Source organism: Homo sapiens, chromosome 20 (assembly GCF_000001405.40).
Source record: "Homo sapiens chromosome 20, GRCh38.p14 Primary Assembly".
Lineage (NCBI taxonomy): Eukaryota > Metazoa > Chordata > Mammalia > Primates > Hominidae > Homo > Homo sapiens.
In genome coordinates, this window is record NC_000020.11 from 1,288,838 (window position 1) to 1,309,628 (window position 20,791).

The 20,791-nt window shown below is 53.2% G+C and overlaps 1 protein-coding gene across 13 annotated transcripts in view, besides 1 other annotated feature; it reads left to right on the forward strand.

The window, feature by feature from the left end:
• SNPH (syntaphilin) overlaps positions 1 to 20,490 on the forward strand; it is a 43,034-nt gene extending 22,544 nt beyond the window's left edge. For 2 of the 13 annotated variants that reach the window (NM_001439261.1, NM_001439260.1), the window contains exons 3-6: positions 7,488 to 7,584; positions 8,209 to 8,415; positions 11,725 to 11,874; positions 16,041 to 20,490. In NM_001439261.1, the coding sequence (NP_001426190.1) occupies positions 7,535 to 7,584; positions 8,209 to 8,415; positions 11,725 to 11,874; positions 16,041 to 17,217 (1,584 nt within the window). In that variant the 5' untranslated portion in view covers positions 7,488 to 7,534 and the 3' untranslated portion in view covers positions 17,218 to 20,490. Of the gene's footprint in view, positions 1 to 6,113; positions 7,585 to 8,208; positions 8,416 to 11,724; positions 11,875 to 16,040 lie in introns of all 13 variants that reach the window. The other 11 variants (NM_001439264.1, NM_014723.4, XM_047440612.1 and 8 more) reach the window with 10 other exon arrangements.
• Positions 6,174 to 7,065: an enhancer, noted in NCBI's record as "H3K4me1 hESC enhancer chr20:1275655-1276546 (GRCh37/hg19 assembly coordinates)". NCBI's record gives its function as "activates a minimal SCP1, AML or CMV promoter by ChIP-STARR-seq in naive H9 embryonic stem cells {active_cell/tissue: H9 hESC(naive)}" and the evidence as "EXISTENCE:reporter gene assay evidence [ECO:0000049][PMID:30033119]".

The following is a 20,791-nucleotide window of genomic DNA, read 5'->3' on the forward strand; positions in this document are numbered from 1 at the left end:
TCTTGAAATCCTGACCTCAGGTGATCCGCCCACCTCGGCCTCCCAAAGTGCTGGGATTACAGGTGTGAGCCACCGTGTCTGGCCAAGAATTTCTTTTTAAACGACTCTCTGTAGTATGCTTACCTCTTATGTCTGTGATGCCCTGCTTTTATGGAAGTATGACCAGCCCAAAATGCAGGTATATACCTGCTCATCTCCATTGTGGTATCTTAGAGTCTCATGGAAAAGTAGGTTTTTTCTTTTATGCAGCAGAATGATAAGTGTCCCAGGTCTACTGTATTATGAGACCTTCATGATGCAGTAGAAATGCAGGTGCCCATGACCTGGAAATCCAGGGTCCAGCCCTTGGTGACTCTTGTAACCTCTGAGGCTTCAGGTTTCCCATAGATCAGATGGACTAGTCTCTACCTGGCCTCCCTCTATGGGGAATTTGTGTGAGGATTCAACGAAGTTGTGAATATGCAAGAGCTTTAGGGGCAGCCTCAGCTACCAGTCTCCTCCAGGCTGACCCAAAGTCTAGGGAAGCATCCTGGGCCCAGCTACCTGAAGTCAGGTAGAGGGGGGGCACTGGCTCTTGCTCCCCTTCTGCTGCAACTTGCTGAGCCATTCTGGAAGAGTCTCTACCCCTTTCTGGACCATGCCTGTCTTTTTATTAATGCAACGGTTCATTTAAATACACACACACACACACACACACACACACACACACACACACACACAATGGAGTCAGGGGCATGGTGGCTCACACCTGTAATCCCAGCAACTCAGGAGGTGACGCTGGTGGATGGCTTGAGGCCAGGAGATTGAGACCACCAAGAGCAACATAGTGAGACCCCACCTTTAAAAAAAGTAAAAAATAGATTAGCCAGGTGAGGTGGCTACTGGAAAGGCTGAGGCAGAAGGATCGCATGAGCTCAGGAGTTTGAGGCTGCAGTGAGCTATGATTTTGTCACTGCACTCCAAGCCTAGGTGACAGAGTAAGACCCTGGCTCTAAAAAAAAATTAAATATATATCACATGTATTTTTAAAAATTTGTTTTTTATTGAGATATAATTTACATTCCATAAAATTTATCCTTTTAATAGCCAGATGCAGTGGCTCACACCTGTAATCCCAGCACTTTGGGAGCAGGGAGGCCAAGGTGGGTGGATTGCTTGAGGCCAGGGGTTCAAGACCAACCTGGCCAATATGGAGAAACCCCATCTCTACTAAAATATACAAAAATTAGCCAGGTGTGGTTGTGCGTGCCTGTAATCCCAGCTACTCGATAGGGTGAGTCATGAGAATCACTTGAACCCGGGAGGCGGAGGTTGCAGTGAGCTGAGATCGTGCCACTGCACTCTAGCCTGGGCGACACAGTGAGACTCTGTCTCAAAAAAAAAAAAATTAAGTTTTTAAAATGTACAATTCAGGGATTTTAGGATACTCACAAAATTATATAACCATCACCACTAGCTACTTCTAAAACGTTTTTTATCTTCCCAAAAAAGAAACTCCATTCCCATTACCAGTCATTCCCTGTTCCTTCTTCCCTTCCAGTGTGTTTTCTGTCTGTGTGCATTTGCCTGTGCTGGATATTTCATATAAATGGAATCATGCAATATGCGGCCTTTCGTATCTGGCTTCTTTCATTTAGCATAATGTTGTCAAGGTTCATCTGTGTTGTAGCATGGATCAGTAATACTTCATTCCTTTTATAGCTAAATATTCCATTGCATAGACGCATCACATTTTGTTTATCCATTCTTCTATTGGTGGACATTTGGGTTATTTCCACCTCTTAGCTATTAAGAATAGTGCTACTGTGAAGTACACTTCTTATACAAGTTTTTGTTTGAGCATCTATTTTCCATTCTTTGGGGTATATACCTAGCAGTGGAATTGCTGGTTCTTATGGCAATTCTATGTTTAACTTTTCGAGGAACCACCAAACTGTTTTCCATAGCAGCAGCGTCATTTTACATCCCCACCAGCAATACATGAGAGTTCCAACTTCTCCACATCCTTGACAACGCTTGTTATTGTCCATCTTTTTTATGCTAGCCATCCTAGTGAATGTGAAACAATATCTCATTGTGGAAAATAAGTATTCCATAGATTTTTAACCTGAAAAATCCTTTTTAAAAAGTAGTCTTACTTCACACCTTCCATATGTAAAACACATACGAGAGGAGCCTCTTCAGGTGAAATGGGGGAGGAGGCCCAAGCCACCCCTCCCAGTAGGTGCAGAGGCAAGTCCTCTTGGGTGGTTTGAAGACCTAGGCTTGATGCCCTTCAGCTCTGGAATCTGAGTCTAATCACTGGAGACACATCCTGTGTAGCAGCTGCCTCAGCCCTCAACCTATGCTGGTTGCCTGGGGAAGCTTCTCACAGCATTTGGCCAAGTTGTGGGTCTGCCTTGCCGCTGTGTTGGGGTTGCCACAACAGTGAGAAGAAGTCGGATGGCGCCTCATGTGTGGTCCCAGCTTTGAGGGTGGCTTGTGTGGGAAACAGGAAGCAAGCTGGAGAAATGCCAGCAAGTCCTGGAAGGAAGATCCTAGGTTTTGTTGACAAAGGAGGAGCAGAGGCACATAGTGGCTGATGAGGCCATAGCCAGTGCAGGGTTTACTGAACTCCTCAGCTGTGAATAGCCCTGGTAGTGCTAATCTTCTGAGATCTAGAGTGTGGCTGCTGGAACACTCCCAGGCCTGTCTTCTATTCCCACCTCTCTGCATTAGCATTCTAGGAGCACCAGGCACTCTGCTGTCTGATGGGTGGAATGTTCTGCGTTCTAGTGTTACCTTGGCAAAGAGAGGATCCCTCCCAAGTTCTGCTCTGTTGATTGCAATGCTCTGCTTTCCACAGCTGTCAGTGGTTTGAGTCATCAGACACAGATTGTTCTGTTCCCTCGGATTTTAGGATAGCTTTCTTCTTGTATCAATGGCTAATTCTTTGAAAGAAGATAAATTATAGTACATACAGGGACTTTTGCTTAGCTGGAATATTAGATTAACCCAAGCACCTGGTTTTTCCCCCATGACTGTTGATTGGGGAAAATGCTATCATGTCTCTTTGAAGAATGGAGCTTCCTAATTTTACATATGTGGAAACTGAGACCCGAAAGTCCTAGTAATGAAGGAGAAAGAAGCATCAATTAGAAGCCCATAATTTCATTGACAGCTCTAGAATTAGAGAATGTTAGATCCAGAGCACCTTAGAGACCATCTAATCTGACTCTTTGGTCTATTCAATGTGCTTGTTTAAACCATTGTATTACCAACAGTTGTGTGTTGATTGTGTTTGTTTTTATGAAGTTTCCCAGGGGATGGTGTTCCCTGAGTTTTAGTCTAAGGCATAGCATCCTAAGTGGTCAAGACAGTAAGTGATAGGAGAAGTCACTGGTGGAAAGGCTGTGGGTGGGACCTAAAGAAAGAGTGCAATGTATGCCTGAGGACAGGCAGGGAAGATGCTGCAGATGGGACAAACAGCCCATGTAGAGATGCAGATTTGGGAGTGACTAGCCGAGGTCTCCTGGATGTATCAGAGAGCCAGTTGGAAAGGTTGTAGATGAGAGGGCCTTAAGCACCCACATCAAGAGCTTTGCTCTGATTTTTACCTAATCTGGGACTTCCAAGGAATTTTGAACAGGGTCCAGGCCCTTTTCTCCATTGTTCCTGCCATGACCCTGGCCCAGGCCCTCCTAATTTCTCCCCTGGTTGGTAACCTCCTAACTGGTATCTGGTATCCCTCCCTCTCCACACAGGCTCCTTATCAGGAACTTTCTAAAATGCAAATATGATTGTGCCCCTTTCCTATAAAGCACTTGCATGGCTTCCTGTTGCCCACAGGACAAGATCCTGGCTTAAGTGGCTCTGTGTGGCCTGCCCCCCTCCTTCTGCAGCCTCACTCCCACTGTACTTCTGCCCTCAACAGGCTCCCTAGTTTCTGAGCAGCCAGCTGTCACTCACTGCCTGTGTCCAGACTTCTCCTTCCCTCCCATTTTCTGCTGCCACCTGGTGAACTCTTATTCATCCCTCAAGACCCAGTGCAAATTTCTTGTGTAGAGAAGCGTTCCTGGATCCTCCTGAAGACACTATTATGGCTTGAATGTGTTTCTGTTTTGAAGCTCACTTCATGTTACTTCCAAAATACTGGCTGCCCCCATGTTTTAGTGTTTATTGTGTGATAGGCACTGACCTAAGCCCCATACTCACATTATTTTATGTTATTCTCACAGTAACCATATGAGGTGCATTCATTAGAGCCCCAGTTATTACAGATATGGGCAGTGAGGCTCAGAGAAGTGGGTGACTTGCCCAAGGCATGCAGCTGAAGGGTGCCAGAGCTGGCATTTGAGCCCAGATCAGTTCATATTGACTTCTGCAGTCATTAGTCTCATGCTCCCTGGACCCCCATTGTCGGGGGGGTTAGGAAGTGTTGAGCATTTGAGGGAGCAGTCAAAGGAGTGGATGCAGCAGGGTTGCTATGGTGTGGACAAGATGGGGAAGTGGAGGGAAGTTCAGTGAGGGCAGGGGCTGGGTTTACTCTGGGGTTAAAGTGATGAGAGACTATCAGCCCAGCTTCCCACAGTTAAGGGTTTTCTTTCTACCTTCCTTTCCAAGTGGCAGCCTCTGGCCACCTGGGGAGAGGCCTGCGGGACTCCAGGCTAAGCAGGTGGCATGGTGACAAACACCATGGCAACCTGCCTCCTTGCTAGGGCCTAGAAGGGAGGGAGGACCTGAGAGAGCACAGGATGCACACTGAGTTTTCTGAGTAGGATCCTGAGAGGTGGCTCCCTTTGGGCCTGGGTGGCTTCTGCCCTCCCATGAGGGACCCTGCCTGCAAGGTCCCATCCCAGCAGGGGAAATGCGTCTTCCACCTTTGTCCCTAATGAATACCTGGCTCTGGGTGCCCAGGAGACTGTTAGCTATACGCAGGTACAAGTGCCACCCCCTTCCCTCCCCCAGGCCAGGGAGGAAGGAAGAGGGAACTCAAGAGGAGGCAGGTGTGGGGTAGCCAAGCAAGATAGTGGCAGGGACAGCTGGGACAAGGCCCTCATTGTAGCAAGGCCACACGCAGCTCCAAGACAAACCAGGCATTTTGCCTGCCTCCCAGGACTGGGCCTAGCACTCTGCCTGGACTTTCCTGGCTCCTTAGAACACTCACTCACACTGGCTTGGAAGAGCCCATCCTCAGATCTGAGTCCTGCCTCTGCTGGAAAGTCCTCCTGAAGGCTCAGCCTCCTTTTTGCATCCTCCCAAAAGCCAGAAGGGCAGGGATGATGGTGGGAAAGTTGTTGGTGAAGCCAGGCCGACCTGGGCCAGAAGCCAGAGCATGTCACACCTGCAGCTGTGTGACCTTGGGCCCAAATGCAGTAACAAAGCCGGCCTTGAAGGATTGCTGCTTCAAGTAATGGGCCAAGGCAGACGAGAGCACTCAGCATGGCCACCTTACCACTGAAGGATTCAGGCAATGGCAGGTGATCCTTGGAGCCCTTGCCCATGTGCCCCTCTGCACCCTAAGCTGTTCCTGGTCAAGATCCTCCTGTGCCCAGGAGGCAGTGAGCCATTTATGGCCATCCTCACAAGCATGGAGGAGCACTGATGTCCTCTTACCCCCAAATCGCCCCTCCTCCATGGTTCCTGCTCTAGGGGCCAGCCCTACAGTTCCAGGAGGCCCTGCCTGGGTGACTGGGGCATAATGAGTGGGAAGCATTGCCAAGCTGGGGCAAGAAGCTCAGGTGACAGGTGTGGTGTCGGCAGGTCCTGCAGCCCAGCACCCGACACCTCCAGGCAGACAATGCTGGCTGTGTCCAGACCCTCCAGGGGAACAGGCTGTGTTCTATGTCCCCGCCAGGAAACAGGCCATCTGAGTAGTGCCTTTGTCCACTCAGGAGGCAGCCCCGCCGCTGGCTGGGATGACCAGGCTCCGGGGAGGCCCTGACATGGGAAGGGGGTGGTCCCCGGGCCAGAGACTCTGGGGTTTGAGATCCAGCCCCTCAGCATCTGATGTTGACCTGGTTTCGATATTGGCTCTGCCACACACCTGGGATGTGACTTGGCCAAGTCCCTTCCCTCTCGGTGGCTCGATTCCTCATCTGTAAAAGGGGACTAATCACAGCACTTCCTCATAGGGTTGTTGAGAGGAGTCAATGGCATAATGTACGTAGCGTGGTTGGCACGAGGTCTGGTGTGGCGTGGGGCTCGGTGAATGCTTCCCTCCAGCATGGGGAGAGGTCCAGGCATGACATCCTCAGCCAAGTCTCCTGTAACCCAGGCTGCTGTCCTCAGTCCCTGCTGTTAATGTGGAAGGAGGGGACTGAGGTCTCTGGAGCTGGCACAGGACCAGCACATTGGCTGCAAAGAGCCCAGGTTCCCCACTCTGCCCCAGACTCCGGTAACTTTGGGCTAATACCCAGTATAGCCCTCCTCACGACAGCCAAAATCCAGCCCAGCATGGGGCCTCTCCCCTCCTTAAATCCTGGAAAGGCTGCCCTTGGAACCCAAGCCTCTACCCAGGAAAGAAGCCTAAGGACTCGGGGGCAGGAACCAGGGGCTTGAGTCTACCTGCCCACTTAGCAAGAGGCCCAGTGATGGGTCTCTCTAGGCACGAACGCTTCCTCCTGGGTCCACCCACTGGGACACCCCCAGCGGAGGGCCTCTGCTCCCACCCACCCCAGTGCTCATCTGCTTTAAGTCTGTGCCCCTACATTCCTGGTAGATGCCAAAACCAGCATGCGCATTACATGGGTGGGTGCGGACATGCCTGTGTGCCGCATGGGTGCGGGAGGACCTGGCTGCATGTCCTGCGTCATGGGCTGGCTGCCTGAGCACGTTCATGGAGACGCGTGTGGCATGTCTTGGAATGGCAGGGACATGGTACCTTCTCGTGTTGGTGTGTATCCGTATGTCTTTCTACACATGTGCTGGTACGTTGGTCTGTCTTGTCTCCCCTGTAGACGGGAAGCCCCGAACCACGGGCCAACTGGGAAGTTGATGGTCGGCGAGACCAGCCCATCCTAATTTGGGGTTCCTGGTCCTGCTCCAGGAGTCCTACAGCCTGCAGCCCCTACCAGAGAGGGAGGACTGAACAGCAAGGGGGTGTGTGGGTCTGAGTATCAGGGTCCTGGGGAAGAAGCAGGCCTGGCTCGTAGAGTAGAAGACTCGGTGCCGGCAGTCAGGAGGCCCTGCTCCTGAAGCCTCTGTGACCTTGGGCACGGCCTTCACTCTGTCTGGGGCACATTCACTCATCTGGAGAACACAGGGTTGGACTGATTACTTTTAGCCACTCCTGACAGTTGTGGTTTTAAGTTGGGTGGTGGGAACCTGTGCACCAGCCCTATTCAATTCACTGGTGGAGGCAGCCGTGGTCTGCCAGGCCCTCGCTCCTGGGGTGTCCTGCCGAAGGGTGAGAAGAGAAGCCATGCCGGGCAGCGGCCCCAGCGAGAGGATGACGTGGCCTGGCCCGGCCCTTTCTGCGGGCCCCCCAACCCGCCCTCTCTCCTCAGCCCCCGGGATACCGCCCATCCCACCCCTTACTCGGACCCACAGCCTCATGGCCATGTCCCTGCCAGGAAGTAGACGGACCTCTGCTGGATCACGCAGGTGAGTCTCCCCCTCGCTCACAGCCTAGGCTTCGGAGGGCGGGAGGAGGGCGCACGGGCCTCTCTCTACCTGCCACCAACTTGCAGTATGTGTTTGAGCAAATCATTTCCCATTCCCATCTTTAAAATGAGCTTGCTAACACCTGCCTCCTCCTGGAACTATTTAATGGCTCAAATGACACAGTGGATGTGAGAGTTCTCGGAAGGTGTAAACCACTGGATTCCTACCAGCAGTAGCCTCATCAATATTGTTTGATTTTCACAACGACTGGAGGGGAATCGTGCAGTCATCCACTCAGACTCACTTGGTGTCCCTTGGTTTTTACCCCCGAGGCTCCTCCTCCTGTCCCCACCCCTGTCTGCCCCATTCTTCTCCACCTCTGTCTCAGTCTATGCAGGGATCTCCTCTCCTGGGTTTGGGGAACCCCAGAAGTTGAGGACCTTGATAAGAGCATATGAGGCCCCACCCTTGCCCTGCAGCCCTGCCGGCCCCCATTCTTGTCCCTGGGGAGCCAGGAGGACCAGCCTTCTTCTGGTTTTCCATCTTGATTTGCACTGTCTGTTCTGTCACCCCTGTCTGTGCGTCTCTCTCTCCCTGCTTCTCTCCCCTGTGGTGACCCCAAAGCGGGGGCACTTTGGGCCGCAGCGGCCTGGCAGTGTTCGCCCAGTGTCCGCAGCTGCCCGCCAGCCAGAACGAGCACCTGCCTCTTCTTCCTGCCTCCAGGCGCACCTCTCCACCTGTGAGCGTGCGGGATGCCTACGGCACCTCTTCGCTCAGCAGCAGCAGCAATTCTGGCTCCTACAAGGGCAGTGACAGCAGTCCCACGCCAAGGTAATTGGCCCCTCCTCTCTGGGCCTGGCCCTGCTGGCTGGGAACAGGTTGTCCTGGGGTGGGAGAGGTAAGGGAGCAGGGTCGTGTTCTAACCACCCCTGACGCCAGCATAGCCGCTGGCCGTGTGACCTTGAGCAGATCATTTCTCCTTTCTGAGCCTCAGTTCCTGTCTGTAAGATGGATATGATAATATACAGCTGGACATAAAAAAATACAGTGGCCTAAACAAACTAGGGGTGATACTTGCAGAACAAGGAGCCAGGGGTCAGCAGCTCCCTGAAGTGTCAGGGACCCTGTGTCTTCTCCCGCTGCTCCACCATCCTTGGTGTACAGCTTTTGTCTTTGTCATCACAGGTGGCTTCTGTACCTCCAGGCATCAGGCCTGCCCTCCAGGAAGGAACAGGTGGAAAGGACCAAAGCCCTTCTCAGAGATTGTTTTTCTGAGAGGGACAGCTTGCCCCCAAATCCTGCCAGTTCTTGCTGGCCAGAACTGGGTCATGTGAATAACTCTAGCTGCAGGGCCAGTTAGTGTCTTCCCCACAACAGTACCACCCCAGACAAAATGGGGGTTCCGCTAGGAAGAAAGCAAGATGAGTATTGGGAAGCAGCCTGCAGTGTCTACCATCATGCACTTCTCAGGGGAACACTTTGAGAGTGGCAGAGGTGGAACTGGCTTGGAAGGCGAAATGTTACGAATGCAGCAGATGCCAAGTTGTAGTCTTGAGTGAGGTGAACTCGGACTCACAAAGCAGGATCATGTTGGAGAAGCAGGTGTAGGGGAGCTGTAGGTCCTTGAAGACCAGGAAGGAAGAGCTGTCATGGTAGGCCTTGTCCTGCTTCCCCAGCATTGAAATACAAGTGGGAGGTTGGGGCGTGTAGGGAACGAGCATAGGCTCTGGATTTGGTCTCTTCCTGTCTTGAGCCTCCATTTCCTTTCTTTAAAGTGGAGCTAATAACTCGGAAGCTTCGGTGACTTGATATCTACACACCGCCTGTGCATCCTAGTTGGCCAATAACTGATACCTCCTGTTGTTAGAGCTTTGATCTGACTTAAGGCCAGGAGATGCCCAGCCTGTGGCTCCCATGGCTGGAGCACCTCCTGGGAGGACTCAGTGGAGAGGATGTCATTTGTGTGAAGCGATGTCCAGAGCCACTGAAACAGCAGCTGTTAGATTTCTATCGTGACACACATGATGGGTAACACCCATGTGCAGGACTCATGCCCCAGCATCCTGGCTGTAACACCACCCCAGAGACTGGGGGACATAGGAGTAAAGCATTAATTTACATTTTGAAAACTATATAATTGGCAACTTTAATCTTTTCTATTAGTAACAGATTTTGTAACACACCTCGTAACTGCAGCCCATGGAGGTGATCCCAACCCCAGGGCTGAGAATTGCTCCCAGCAAAGGGTCTTCTTCCCCACAACAAGGGTTGCTGCCCCTGGGTGAGCAGTGGGGCCACAGTTAGGTCCCCTCTGCAAATAGCCAGGCTTTCCAAGGCAGGAACAGCTGAGAAACATGCGTCACAGCGTATTTTTTTTCTAATTTGTGTGTGTGTGTGTGTGTGTGTGTGTGTGTGTGTGTGTGTATACATATTTTTTTTTTTACAAAGAGCTAGTGACTAAAAATGTACACGTGTTAAATTTTATATCGGGGAAAATATTCATGAAAGCAAAATGAAAAGAATGTAAAATAGTTACTTCCTCTCTAATCCTCAATCCTTACTAGTTTAGCTAACCTTGGGTCCCCCACTCCTACCACCCCTTGCCAAGGGGTGACTCCTCCGCCCCTTGCCAAGCAGAGAGGAGACCTGCGTGACTTGGCTTGAGTTGACCTAGGGGCCATGACGTGAGTACATAGAAGAAAACCACTTCTCATTCCACTTCTATCACCACTTTCTCTTTGACAGTTTACGACTTACAAGTACTTTTTCCTCGGTAAACACCATACAGCTTCCATGGAACTTTTAAAATTGCCTCCAGCTCGGCTGCTTCAGCAAATGGGCCTCACCAGGGCCTGCCTTTTCCAGGCTCATAAAGGGACATTGCCCCTCCCTAGACCTGCCAGTCACTCTCCCCTCAAGGAGCAGAGTTGGATGGCAACAAGGCCTGAGTCTCTAGTCGCGAGATACATGCCCAGGTTTTAAGCCAAGATCCAAGGTTTCTGTTTGAGCAAAACAACCAGCAGCCAGGACACTGAGAATAGAGCTGGCTGGGCCATAGTCTGTTGTGGAATTGGGGCATTCTCCTTCCCCGTGAAAGCCTGGCCCTCCCTCCTCCACTGGCACCTGACTGCCCTCTGGGTGGAAATTCCTTCTCCTTTGCCCTGGTAGGGCACCATGTCAGTGCCGCCCTGTGCTGGGAGCAGTGCACTTCCAGCCTGCTGCCACCCCAGAGTACTGCAGTGGACAGGTCCCTGCCCAGAGCCGGCAGGTGTTCACGTGTGTGCTCCCATGTGCCCCCGGAGGTGAAAGTGTGAACATGTGCCTGGGCTGGTGCCCTAGTATGTGTGAGTACCTGCGAGGCACAAGTGTGTCTCCATGTATGTGGGCATGCAGGTGTGAATGGACTGGGAATTGACATCCCAGGAAGTGTGCGTGCATGTAGTGCTCACCCACGTGTACGCAGTGGGGGTGAGGAGTGAGAGTGCCAGGGCGTATATGGAGACAGCTGTGCCTGCGCGTGTCTGCCCTCCCTGTCCCCAGGCTGTGAGGGGTCTCAGCTCTAGAGAGGAGAGCTTCTGCCTCCACCTGGGAGATGTATCCTGCTGTGTGGGGGTGAGTCCTTGTCTGCCATGCAGACCCAGCATCTGCCACTTACACCTCAGTTTCCAGCCTTCAAACTCATTCTCCAGGTTGGAAGACGAGGTACCTGGGTTCTGGGGCACACTACCGGGATTGTCTGAGGGGCTCGGGGCAAGAGCTAACCTCTCTGAGGCCAGCGGCCCCTCTAAAAGATGAAGACAGTCCCTACTTCAGGGCTGCTATAAGGATTGATGGCGTTGGTCAAGTGCTTGGCCTGGTTCCAGGTTTACACATATGCTCTGGGATATATCTCCCCACCCAGCCCTAACTAGAGGAGCCCTGAAGCCCGCTTCCTGACATGATGGTCTTCACTTAGAGGAACTCTACTAAAACCCACCTTCCAGAAGGCTGGGGGTTCTCCTGCCTTGTGTGGGAGGCCTGGCTTGGAGCATCTGGTGGCCAGGGATGGTGAGGCTGGTGTCCCCTTGCTCCCCAGAGGTAAAGCACCTGTGCCTTGCCTGACCTCTTCCTCCCTCCCTGATGATGGGCGTCCCCTTGCAGGCGCTCCATGAAATACACGCTGTGCAGTGACAACCATGGCATCAAGCCCCCGACCCCGGAGCAGTACCTGACCCCCCTGCAGCAGAAGGAGGTGTGCATCCGGCACCTGAAAGCCCGGCTGAAGGACACACAGGACCGGCTCCAGGACCGGTGAGCGGGTGGCCACGAGCAGCCCTGGGGGTACCCCACCAGCTCCACACTCAGGGAAACCAGGGCTCTGGGGTGCCTCTTGGAGGGAGGAGTGGCTGGGGGTCTCCCAGCATCCGTCTGCTCTCTCCTTCCCAGCAAAGCCTCATTTGAGCCCACTTGCAGACCCTCATCCCCAGCAGCTACTCACCTTGACTGCTCCACGAGGCTGTTGGGGGCCAGGCGGGAGCAGTTTCCCATGAGGGCCTGTCCTGTGGGGCCTCCTGCCTGTGCTGTCCTTTCCCAGCTTCAGCCTGGCAGCTCCTTTGGCTGCTTCTTTTCCTCTGGCTCCCATCTTCCAGGAGTTGGAGCACAGGGCTTCTTTCTGACTTACTTGCCTCTTTTGGGGGAGAAACAACTCTTTATCCTTCCTCGCTTCCTCCTGAGTGAGTCACCAGAGGGCTTGTGGCCAACCTCGACTTCAGGCCCCAGAAGCCATCTACTTCCTGCTGTGGAGGATGATGATGAGAAGCCTTTTGCTGAGCTCCTCCCCAGCCCAGGTGTCTCCCAGGAGCCCCCGCAGGCCGTCTGAGCTCATTCTCAAGTGCTTAATCCCAACCCTCCCAGCTTCTACCCTCCAAGCCCAGTGGCTTCATCTTTGTGATCTACACTTCAGGGCGTCGATCTCCCATTGTCTTAACTATCCTTCTCGGGACTGTGTCTATGCAAACATGCAGCCTATTGTGAGCTGGCCAAGGTGCTGTGTGGGGCTGGAGCTCAGAGCAGGCACGATGATCGCTCCTTTTTTCTTTTCTTTCTTTTTTTTTTTTAATACAGCAGCTTTATTGCAATGTAACTTACATACCATATAATTCACCTATCAAAAGTGTACAATTAGATGATTGTTAGTTTAGTCACAGAATTTTGCAACCATTACCACTATCTAATTTCATAAATATTTCTATCACCTCAAAATAAACCCCATTCCCATTAGCAATCACCGCCAATTTCTAATTTCATCAATATTTCTATCACCTCAAAATAAACCCCATTCCCATTAGCAATCACCGCCAATTTCTAATTTCATCAATATTTCTATCACCTCAAAATAAACCCCATTCCCATTAGCAATCACCGCCAATTTCTAATTTCATCAATATTTCTATCACCTCAAAATAAACCCCATTCCCATTAGCAATCACCGCCAATTTCTAATTTCATCAATATTTCTATCACCTCAAAATAAACCCCATTCCCATTAGCAATCACCGCCAATTTCTAATTTCATCAATATTTCTATCACCTCAAAATAAACCCCATTCCCATTAGCAATCACCGCCAATTTCTAATTTCATCAATATTTCTATCACCTCAAAATAAACCCCATTCCCATTAGCAATCACCGCCAATTTCTAATTTCATCAATATTTCTATCACCTCAAAATAAACCCCATTCCCATTAGCAATCACCGCCAGTTTCTAATTTCATCAATATTTCTATCACCTCAAAATAAACCCCATTCCCATTAGCAATCACCGCCAGTTTCTAATTTCATCAATATTTCTATCACCTCAAAATAAACCCCATTCCCATTAGCAATCACCGCCAATTTCTAATTTCATCAATATTTCTATCACCTCAAAATAAACCCCATTCCCATTAGCAATCACCGCCAGTTTCTAATTTCATCAATATTTCTATCACCTCAAAATAAACCCCATTCCCATTAGCAATCACCGCCAATTTCTAATTTCATCAATATTTCTATCACCTCAAAATAAACCCCATTCCCATTAGCAATCACCGCCAATTTCTAATTTCATCAATATTTCTATCACCTCAAAATAAACCCCATTCCCATTAGCAATCACCGCCAATTTCTAATTTCATCAATATTTCTATCACCTCAAAATAAACCCCATTCCCATTAGCAATCACCGCCAGTTTCTCTCCAACCACCATAGTCCCTGGCAACCACTGATTTTTCTGTCTCTATGGATTTGTCTATTCTGGACATTTCATATAAATGGGATCACGCTGTATGCATGACCACATCGTTCTTGACCACAGCTCTGCCAAGCAGCCAATCCGGTTTGGATTTGTTGTGGTTTTAAACTACAGGCGGTTACGGGTAGCATTCAGCGAGCTTCATTGTCGGCAGAGGGAGGATTTCTATTTTTATTTTCCCTCATCTTCCCAATGATGCCCAGGATCTGCGTGGCCTTTTGCACTAATGCCTCAGGGAGCAGATGGCCCATCTCCCAGCTTCATTTCTAGGGCCAGCCCCATGGCTTAGAGCAGACCATCTGCCCTGTGTGGTTTGGGCAGGATGCCCTGGTGTAGGTGTGCTAACACCTTGACTCCCTGGTCACTGTCTGCCTGTTACTCCCACAGGAACCCATTGCAGGTCTTTACATGAAATACTGTCACTCTCCCCACACTCTCTCCATATGGAGTTTCATGCCTGTGCTTCCTGCAGTGGCCCACCTTCTGTTCCTCAAAGACACCATGGCTTTTGCACCTCTGTGCTTTCGTATCTGTGTCCCCACTACTTGAGATGCCCTGCCTTCTATCTTGCTCCCTGGGCAGACTTACCCTTCAAGACGCACTTCAGATGTGATGCCCACTGAGGCGTGGACAGGGCTCGAAGCCATGGCTCCCTGGGGTTTGGCTGGGCCCCAAGGAGAGAGAGGCAGAGACTGGCTGAGCAGATCATGCCCAGTTCCTTCTTTCAAACTCACTCTTTCTCCCAGGGTGAGGTGTGAGTGAGGAGCAGGGTGAGAGGCCAAAAGGGTTACCTAGAGTGGGCCCCCCACCTGGAGGCAGGAAGGGTGAAGGCCAAGTATCTCCTGCCCCTCAGTACCTGTTGCCTTGTCTGTTATTGGCACTCTAAGCAGCTCCAGCTGTGTCCTGATGGGTGGATGGGCCCCTTCTAGGTGACACCATTGCTGACCTTTATGGCCACTGCATCCCCTCAGCCCCCAGTCCCTCCAGCGTATTGTGGAATGAGATTCCTGGGCCCATTTCCTGAAGGAAAATTCTGATCTGGCTTTGAAAAGTATATGGTGCTTGATCTGGGACGGTCATTCTGCTGGGCTGATGAACCCCAGAGTGACAGGCACGGCATTTGTAGATTTTACGGATGGGAATGTAGGGTTTAGGCTGAGGGGGCTCATGTGGGCTGCCACTAGGAAGTGAGCGAAAATGCCCAGGACAGGGTTTGACGTCTCCTGGATGATTTTCCTTCTTCCTCACTGGTGTTAATCAGTCGCCATTCTGTCTCACTCTGGTTTTACCTCTAGACCTGATGGCATATTTTTCTAACTTACCTCCCTCCCCTTGCACCCCTGGATTCATCTGTGACTCGGGAATTTGAAAAGCCTGAGCATTTCTGGACAAGAGTCTGCCGACTATCTTGTTCACCTGGTGCTTGCCCCCGTCGCTCAGGAGTAACTCTATGCCTTTCTCGTTGATCTTTTCAGCTTTTCCTCTTTAAGATACAAGATACAAGGAGATACAAAGATACAAAGAAGCTTCTAGCATGGATAGATGAGAGCCACCCTGTTCTTATCACTCTCCCGTTCCACCCACCACTTCTCATCGCTCTGCATGAGGGATGATGTAAAATCATCAGCCTCCCCCAACATTGAAAGCTGTCATTTCTCTCCCCTGGGGTCTCTGGCCAAATATTCCTCCACTGAAACTTTCTGCAACCTGCTTTAGTAGGTAGTAGGAGGCTACATCACTTTCTATAGAGCAGAGATTTCCTGCCTAGTTTTTGTTGTTTCACATTAAGATTTTATTAGGTTTTTATAGCAGTAGCTATAAAACTTATGAGCATCTTTGTTGTCTAGTCTCTTCTCTAGATGATGGATTTGAATGTTGAGAGTTGTCGGCATTCTGGGGGTGGTGGGGTGGGGGAGGGAATGCGAGTGGTGTCTCCTCCCAACCTTTCTTCTCTCTCCAGGCAGAGGCTTCTCCTGTCTTCACCCCTCAGCCCCTCTCCCCAGCCACTCTCACTCCCCACTATAATAAGAAGGCATTGAGTTTGTCCTTCTGTTTTGGGTTCTGAGCCACAGCAGCACAGGGCCCTTCATCCTTGGCAACAGTGTCCTCTCCCTGCCTCTCCTTGGCGGTGACAGACCAGGCAGGCAGGCAGTGAGCGTGTGTGTGTCTCCTCGGCTCGCAGGGACACAGAGATTGATGACCTGAAGACGCAGCTGTCACGCATGCAGGAGGACTGGATTGAGGAGGAGTGCCACCGCGTGGAGGCCCAGCTGGCCCTGAAGGAGGCCCGAAAGGAGATCAAGCAGCTCAAGCAGGTCATCGACACTGTCAAGAACAACCTGATTGACAAGGACAAGGGGCTGCAGAAGTACTTCGTGGACATCAACATCCAGAACAAGAAGCTGGAGACGCTGCTGCACAGCATGGAGGTGGCCCAGAATGGCATGGCCAAGGAGGATGGCACTGGGGAGTCAGCCGGTGGGTCCCCTGCCCGCTCCCTCACCCGCAGCTCCACCTACACCAAGCTGAGTGACCCGGCTGTCTGTGGTGACCGCCAGCCGGGTGATCCCTCCAGCGGCTCTGCTGAGGATGGGGCAGACAGTGGCTTTGCAGCAGCCGATGACACACTGAGCCGGACGGACGCGCTGGAAGCCAGCAGCCTGCTGTCGTCGGGGGTGGACTGTGGCACCGAGGAGACCTCGCTGCACAGCTCCTTCGGCCTGGGCCCCCGCTTCCCTGCCAGCAACACCTATGAGAAGCTGCTGTGTGGCATGGAGGCTGGTGTGCAGGCCAGCTGCATGCAGGAGCGTGCCATCCAGACAGACTTCGTGCAGTACCAGCCTGACCTTGACACCATCCTGGAGAAAGTGACCCAGGCCCAGGTCTGTGGGACAGACCCTGAGTCAGGGGACAGGTGCCCAGAGCTGGATGCCCACCCTTCAGGGCCCAGAGACCCCAACTCAGCAGTGGTGGTGACAGTGGGTGATGAGCTAGAGGCCCCAGAGCCCATCACCCGTGGACCCACCCCACAGCGGCCTGGTGCCAACCCCAACCCTGGCCAGTCGGTGAGCGTGGTGTGCCCCATGGAAGAGGAGGAGGAGGCTGCCGTGGCTGAGAAGGAGCCCAAGAGCTACTGGAGCCGCCACTACATCGTGGATCTGCTGGCTGTGGTGGTGCCGGCCGTGCCCACGGTGGCCTGGCTTTGCCGCTCCCAGCGGCGCCAGGGCCAGCCCATCTACAACATCAGCTCCCTGCTGCGGGGCTGCTGCACTGTGGCCTTGCACTCCATCCGCAGGATCAGCTGCCGCTCGCTGAGCCAGCCGAGTCCCAGCCCAGCGGGCGGCGGCTCCCAGCTCTGAGGGGGCCCATTCTGGCAGCGGCGCCTGCGGCCTGACCACTGATTGTAGGGATGCCGTTCCCCCCTCCCTTCTCCCATGGGCATCATCTTATTTATTTAGTTTTGGGTGTGGAACTGTTTCTTTTTTTCAAGATGTTAAAACAGTCCCGTGGAAGGAGCAGGGGTTGGAGAAAGGCATCCCAAAGCTTCGATGGAGAGCAGGGAAGGGGGACCCAAGGCAGGAGGTACACCAGCTGGACAAATTGCAGGGAGGGGAGGGAGCGAGGGCCAACCCGGCCCCTCTGTCCCCTTGGCTCTTCAGACAGGGCCAGCCCTGCTCAGGAAGTCTCTGGCTGTCTTCATGTGGGGAAGCCGGGCTTGAGTTGCCCATAGGCCCCTGCCCTGCACCATCCTGTCCAGTGCCCTGCGCACTCCATGCCGTCTCTTCCAAGCCACCTTGCCCGCAGCCCAGGCTCCTGGGCCAGTGCTCTCTCCTCAAATGGAGGCAGCCATGGCCTGAAGTGCAGATCACTGACCCAGGGCTCAGAGCAGAGGCCAGAACCACTGGGCCGGCCGGCATTCCAGCCTCCCCAGACTGCTGCCCACCTTGGGACTCAGGAGCTCAGTCAAGGCCACAGGCTGGAGGAGAGACGGGGCTGGGCGCAAGGTGGCGGAGGGCAGTGTGGGTTCTGTGTCTGTCTGTTCATCCCAGGCTTTCCCGTCATCCCTTTCCTCTTGGCACTTCTGGGTGTGTCAGTCATTATTCCTGTGAGGTAGCTAAGCCCGGCAAGCTCAGTGCTGGGGTAGGAGGGCCTGCCTGAGTCCCAGCTCCCAGCTGGAGAATCCACCAGCACAAGAAGAGGAGGCAGGGGCAGAAACCCAAGGGGGCTCCCCCAGCCTTCCAAGGTGAGGCCATCTCATCTGCAGGCTGGGAGGCAGGGCTGGACTCAGGAACCCACAGCTTACTGAAAAAGCCAGAGGCCATGACTGCCCCCAGAAACTTGCCCCGAGTTTCTCTGGGGCCCTCGGGCCCAACTTCTGCTTTGCACTATGTTCACTTTGGGGTTGGTTCTCAGCCATCCAAGGGTCTCCAGTGAGGTGGCTGCTTGCTGTCTGAGATGAGGGTTCCTAAACCTTAAACCTCTCTGCCTCTGGAGGAGGGTGGGGTATTCTGGCAGGATGAATCGCAGGATGGCGCGTACTGAAGCCACGATGTTCATCCAGGCCAAAGCAGGGTGTCCTGGGATAGGTTTCCTAGGCAGGGGCGTGGCAGAGCAGGTAGGCGCCCTGCAGCCTCCCTGCTCCCAGCCCAAGGCCAGTCGGCCTGGGAAGTTCACTGCCCCAACTCTTTTCCCGGGACCATACTGAGTCCCCCAGCCACGCTGCTGACATTACCATTATTATTTTACCAAGTAAACTCACTCCTTTTCCCCCACAGGGGTTACACCCATCTGGTTGTCCCACCCACTCTTCAGAGGCTAGGCCCCACCTCTGGGGGTTGGAGGGACCCTGTGTCTTACTCGCCCCTCTGGCCTAAGGGCCACTCTGGTTATCTGCCAAGGTTGCTTGCCCTCACCCCAATGCTCCAACAGCCATTGCCTAACTCATGGGCTCTGCCCTTCTGCTCGGTGCCCTCCACGTGAGGCGGGGCACCTGCATGCACTGGGAGGGGGCGGCTGGCCCAGCCCTCGGGGCAGGAGCCCCCTCTGCCACACGCTTTGTGCCTCCAAAGCTCCCCCCGCCTTGGTCAGGGCCTCAGACCAGCCAACCTTTGTGGAATAAGCCCCAGCCCAGCCAAACCAAACCCAGATGCCTGAGGCCTGGCTGGGGCTGCCCCCGCAGGACACTGTGGCCATGCCACGGAGGGGGCAGTGGACAAAACCAATCCAAAGCCAAGCCGGGACTGGCTGCGGACCCAGCCTCCTGTGCCGCGCACTCACGGAGCTGCGTAGTCTCCTCAGACATAGTCAAAGCTTTGCCGAGAAAAGAAATGTATGAACTATATTTGACAACATAAAATCTCTCTATTTTTCACCACTGGAATTTAGTCAAGCTTCAGGCCCCTCTGCTCCTGTCTGTGTCTTGCGTCTGTGGCCTTCCTATTGTGTCTTGTGTTTTGGTGGATGTGACAGGGCTGGGGCCACAGTCTACTCTGTCTCTGCTGCTAGAGAAGCCACCTGTGGAGGACTGGGCTGTGGTTGGGCCTGAGGCCTGTGGAGGAGGTGAGTGTAGCCAGCAGCGGCCGTCTACTCCTGTTCTGGCCTGAGACCACCGGTGTGGGTCACGAGGGCCCTGGCCCACAGTGTTGAGGGTCCTCTCTTTCGGGGGCTCTCCTGGGGCCTTCGATGGGCTTTTCTTCTTGTCAGTGGAGGGAGCAGCTCCCCACTCAGCCCTGGGACAGGCCCTGGGACTGTGGTGGCCGGTGGCCCTGGCCCAGCTCTGGAGTGCATGTGTGTGTGCTCAGATCCCGCATCTATGCAAAGGTGCAGGCTGCCTGTGAGGCTCCAGGCGGTGGAGGTGCGGCAGCTGCTGCTCAGGTGCCATGCCCTGAAGAGGCAGGGTACACATGGGGCTGGGAGGGCAAAGATGGGGCGGGGCCTCCCCCTGAGAGAGCTCACCCTCCACAGTGACCCTTTTCCTTCCTGCCTAATACCTCCTCCCGTTGGGCTGTGACTTTTCCTCCTGCCCTCAGCCTCTGAAACAGAAATCTTTGGGGCCTCCCCTTTCCCCAGCGTCTGGCAAGAGCTGATGAGGTCCTGAGGAACAGTGTCCCCAGGAACCACCTTCTGGAGCCTAGCGGCCAGACGTGGCTTCTCCTGAGTTCTAGGGCTCGGGCCAGAGTGGCACTACTGCCCGGCCAGTCCAGGCTCAGGCAGGAATCGGACGCTGGGGCCCGGGCTCTGCACAGAGAGCTGGGCTTGAGTGGAGTTTATTGTAGATTTCTCCCAAGGGGATCACTTAGCTTCTCACTGACACACCCTTCCCAATTGCCACAAGCGCAGGGGTATCTTACAGCACTTTGGGGAGGGGTGGGACAAACTGCAAGGTTCTGGGGCCAAGGCCTACCCAGGGGCCTCTGCCCAGAGAACTCACAACCCCCTCTCTGACCTGGGGGACAATGCAAACAGGTCACAGTGCATTCCCATATTAGGCCATCCCCTTCACGAAGAATTCAGGGGATGTGGGAAGTGGGGAGGCGGGGAGGGATCTTGACTCTTGTCTCCTTTGTCCTTTTGTTCAGACAGAGTTGTACCTGCAGCAGACAACTCTGAATTAAAGCATGAAAACACAGCAAGCCCCTTGGCCTGTTTTCTTTATACTGGGTGGTTTCTCTAAGGGGAGGCAGTGGGAGGGTTCACACCATCTTCCTCCAGCGCAGGGGTCACAACACCCGCACGGGAAAAAGCCACGTGGGCAGCGATCATCTCTGATGTGCAGGGAAGCAGAGAGCTGTGTGGGGCTGAGGCACCACTGCCCTCTTGGGGTCAGGCTCAGAGTCTGGAGCCACCTCCCCCTGCCCCCACATGGCACACCCTGCTGGGCGCCATGAGCACATCGCGTCTCACCTTCCCCAACACCCCCTAAAGTGGCTTCTC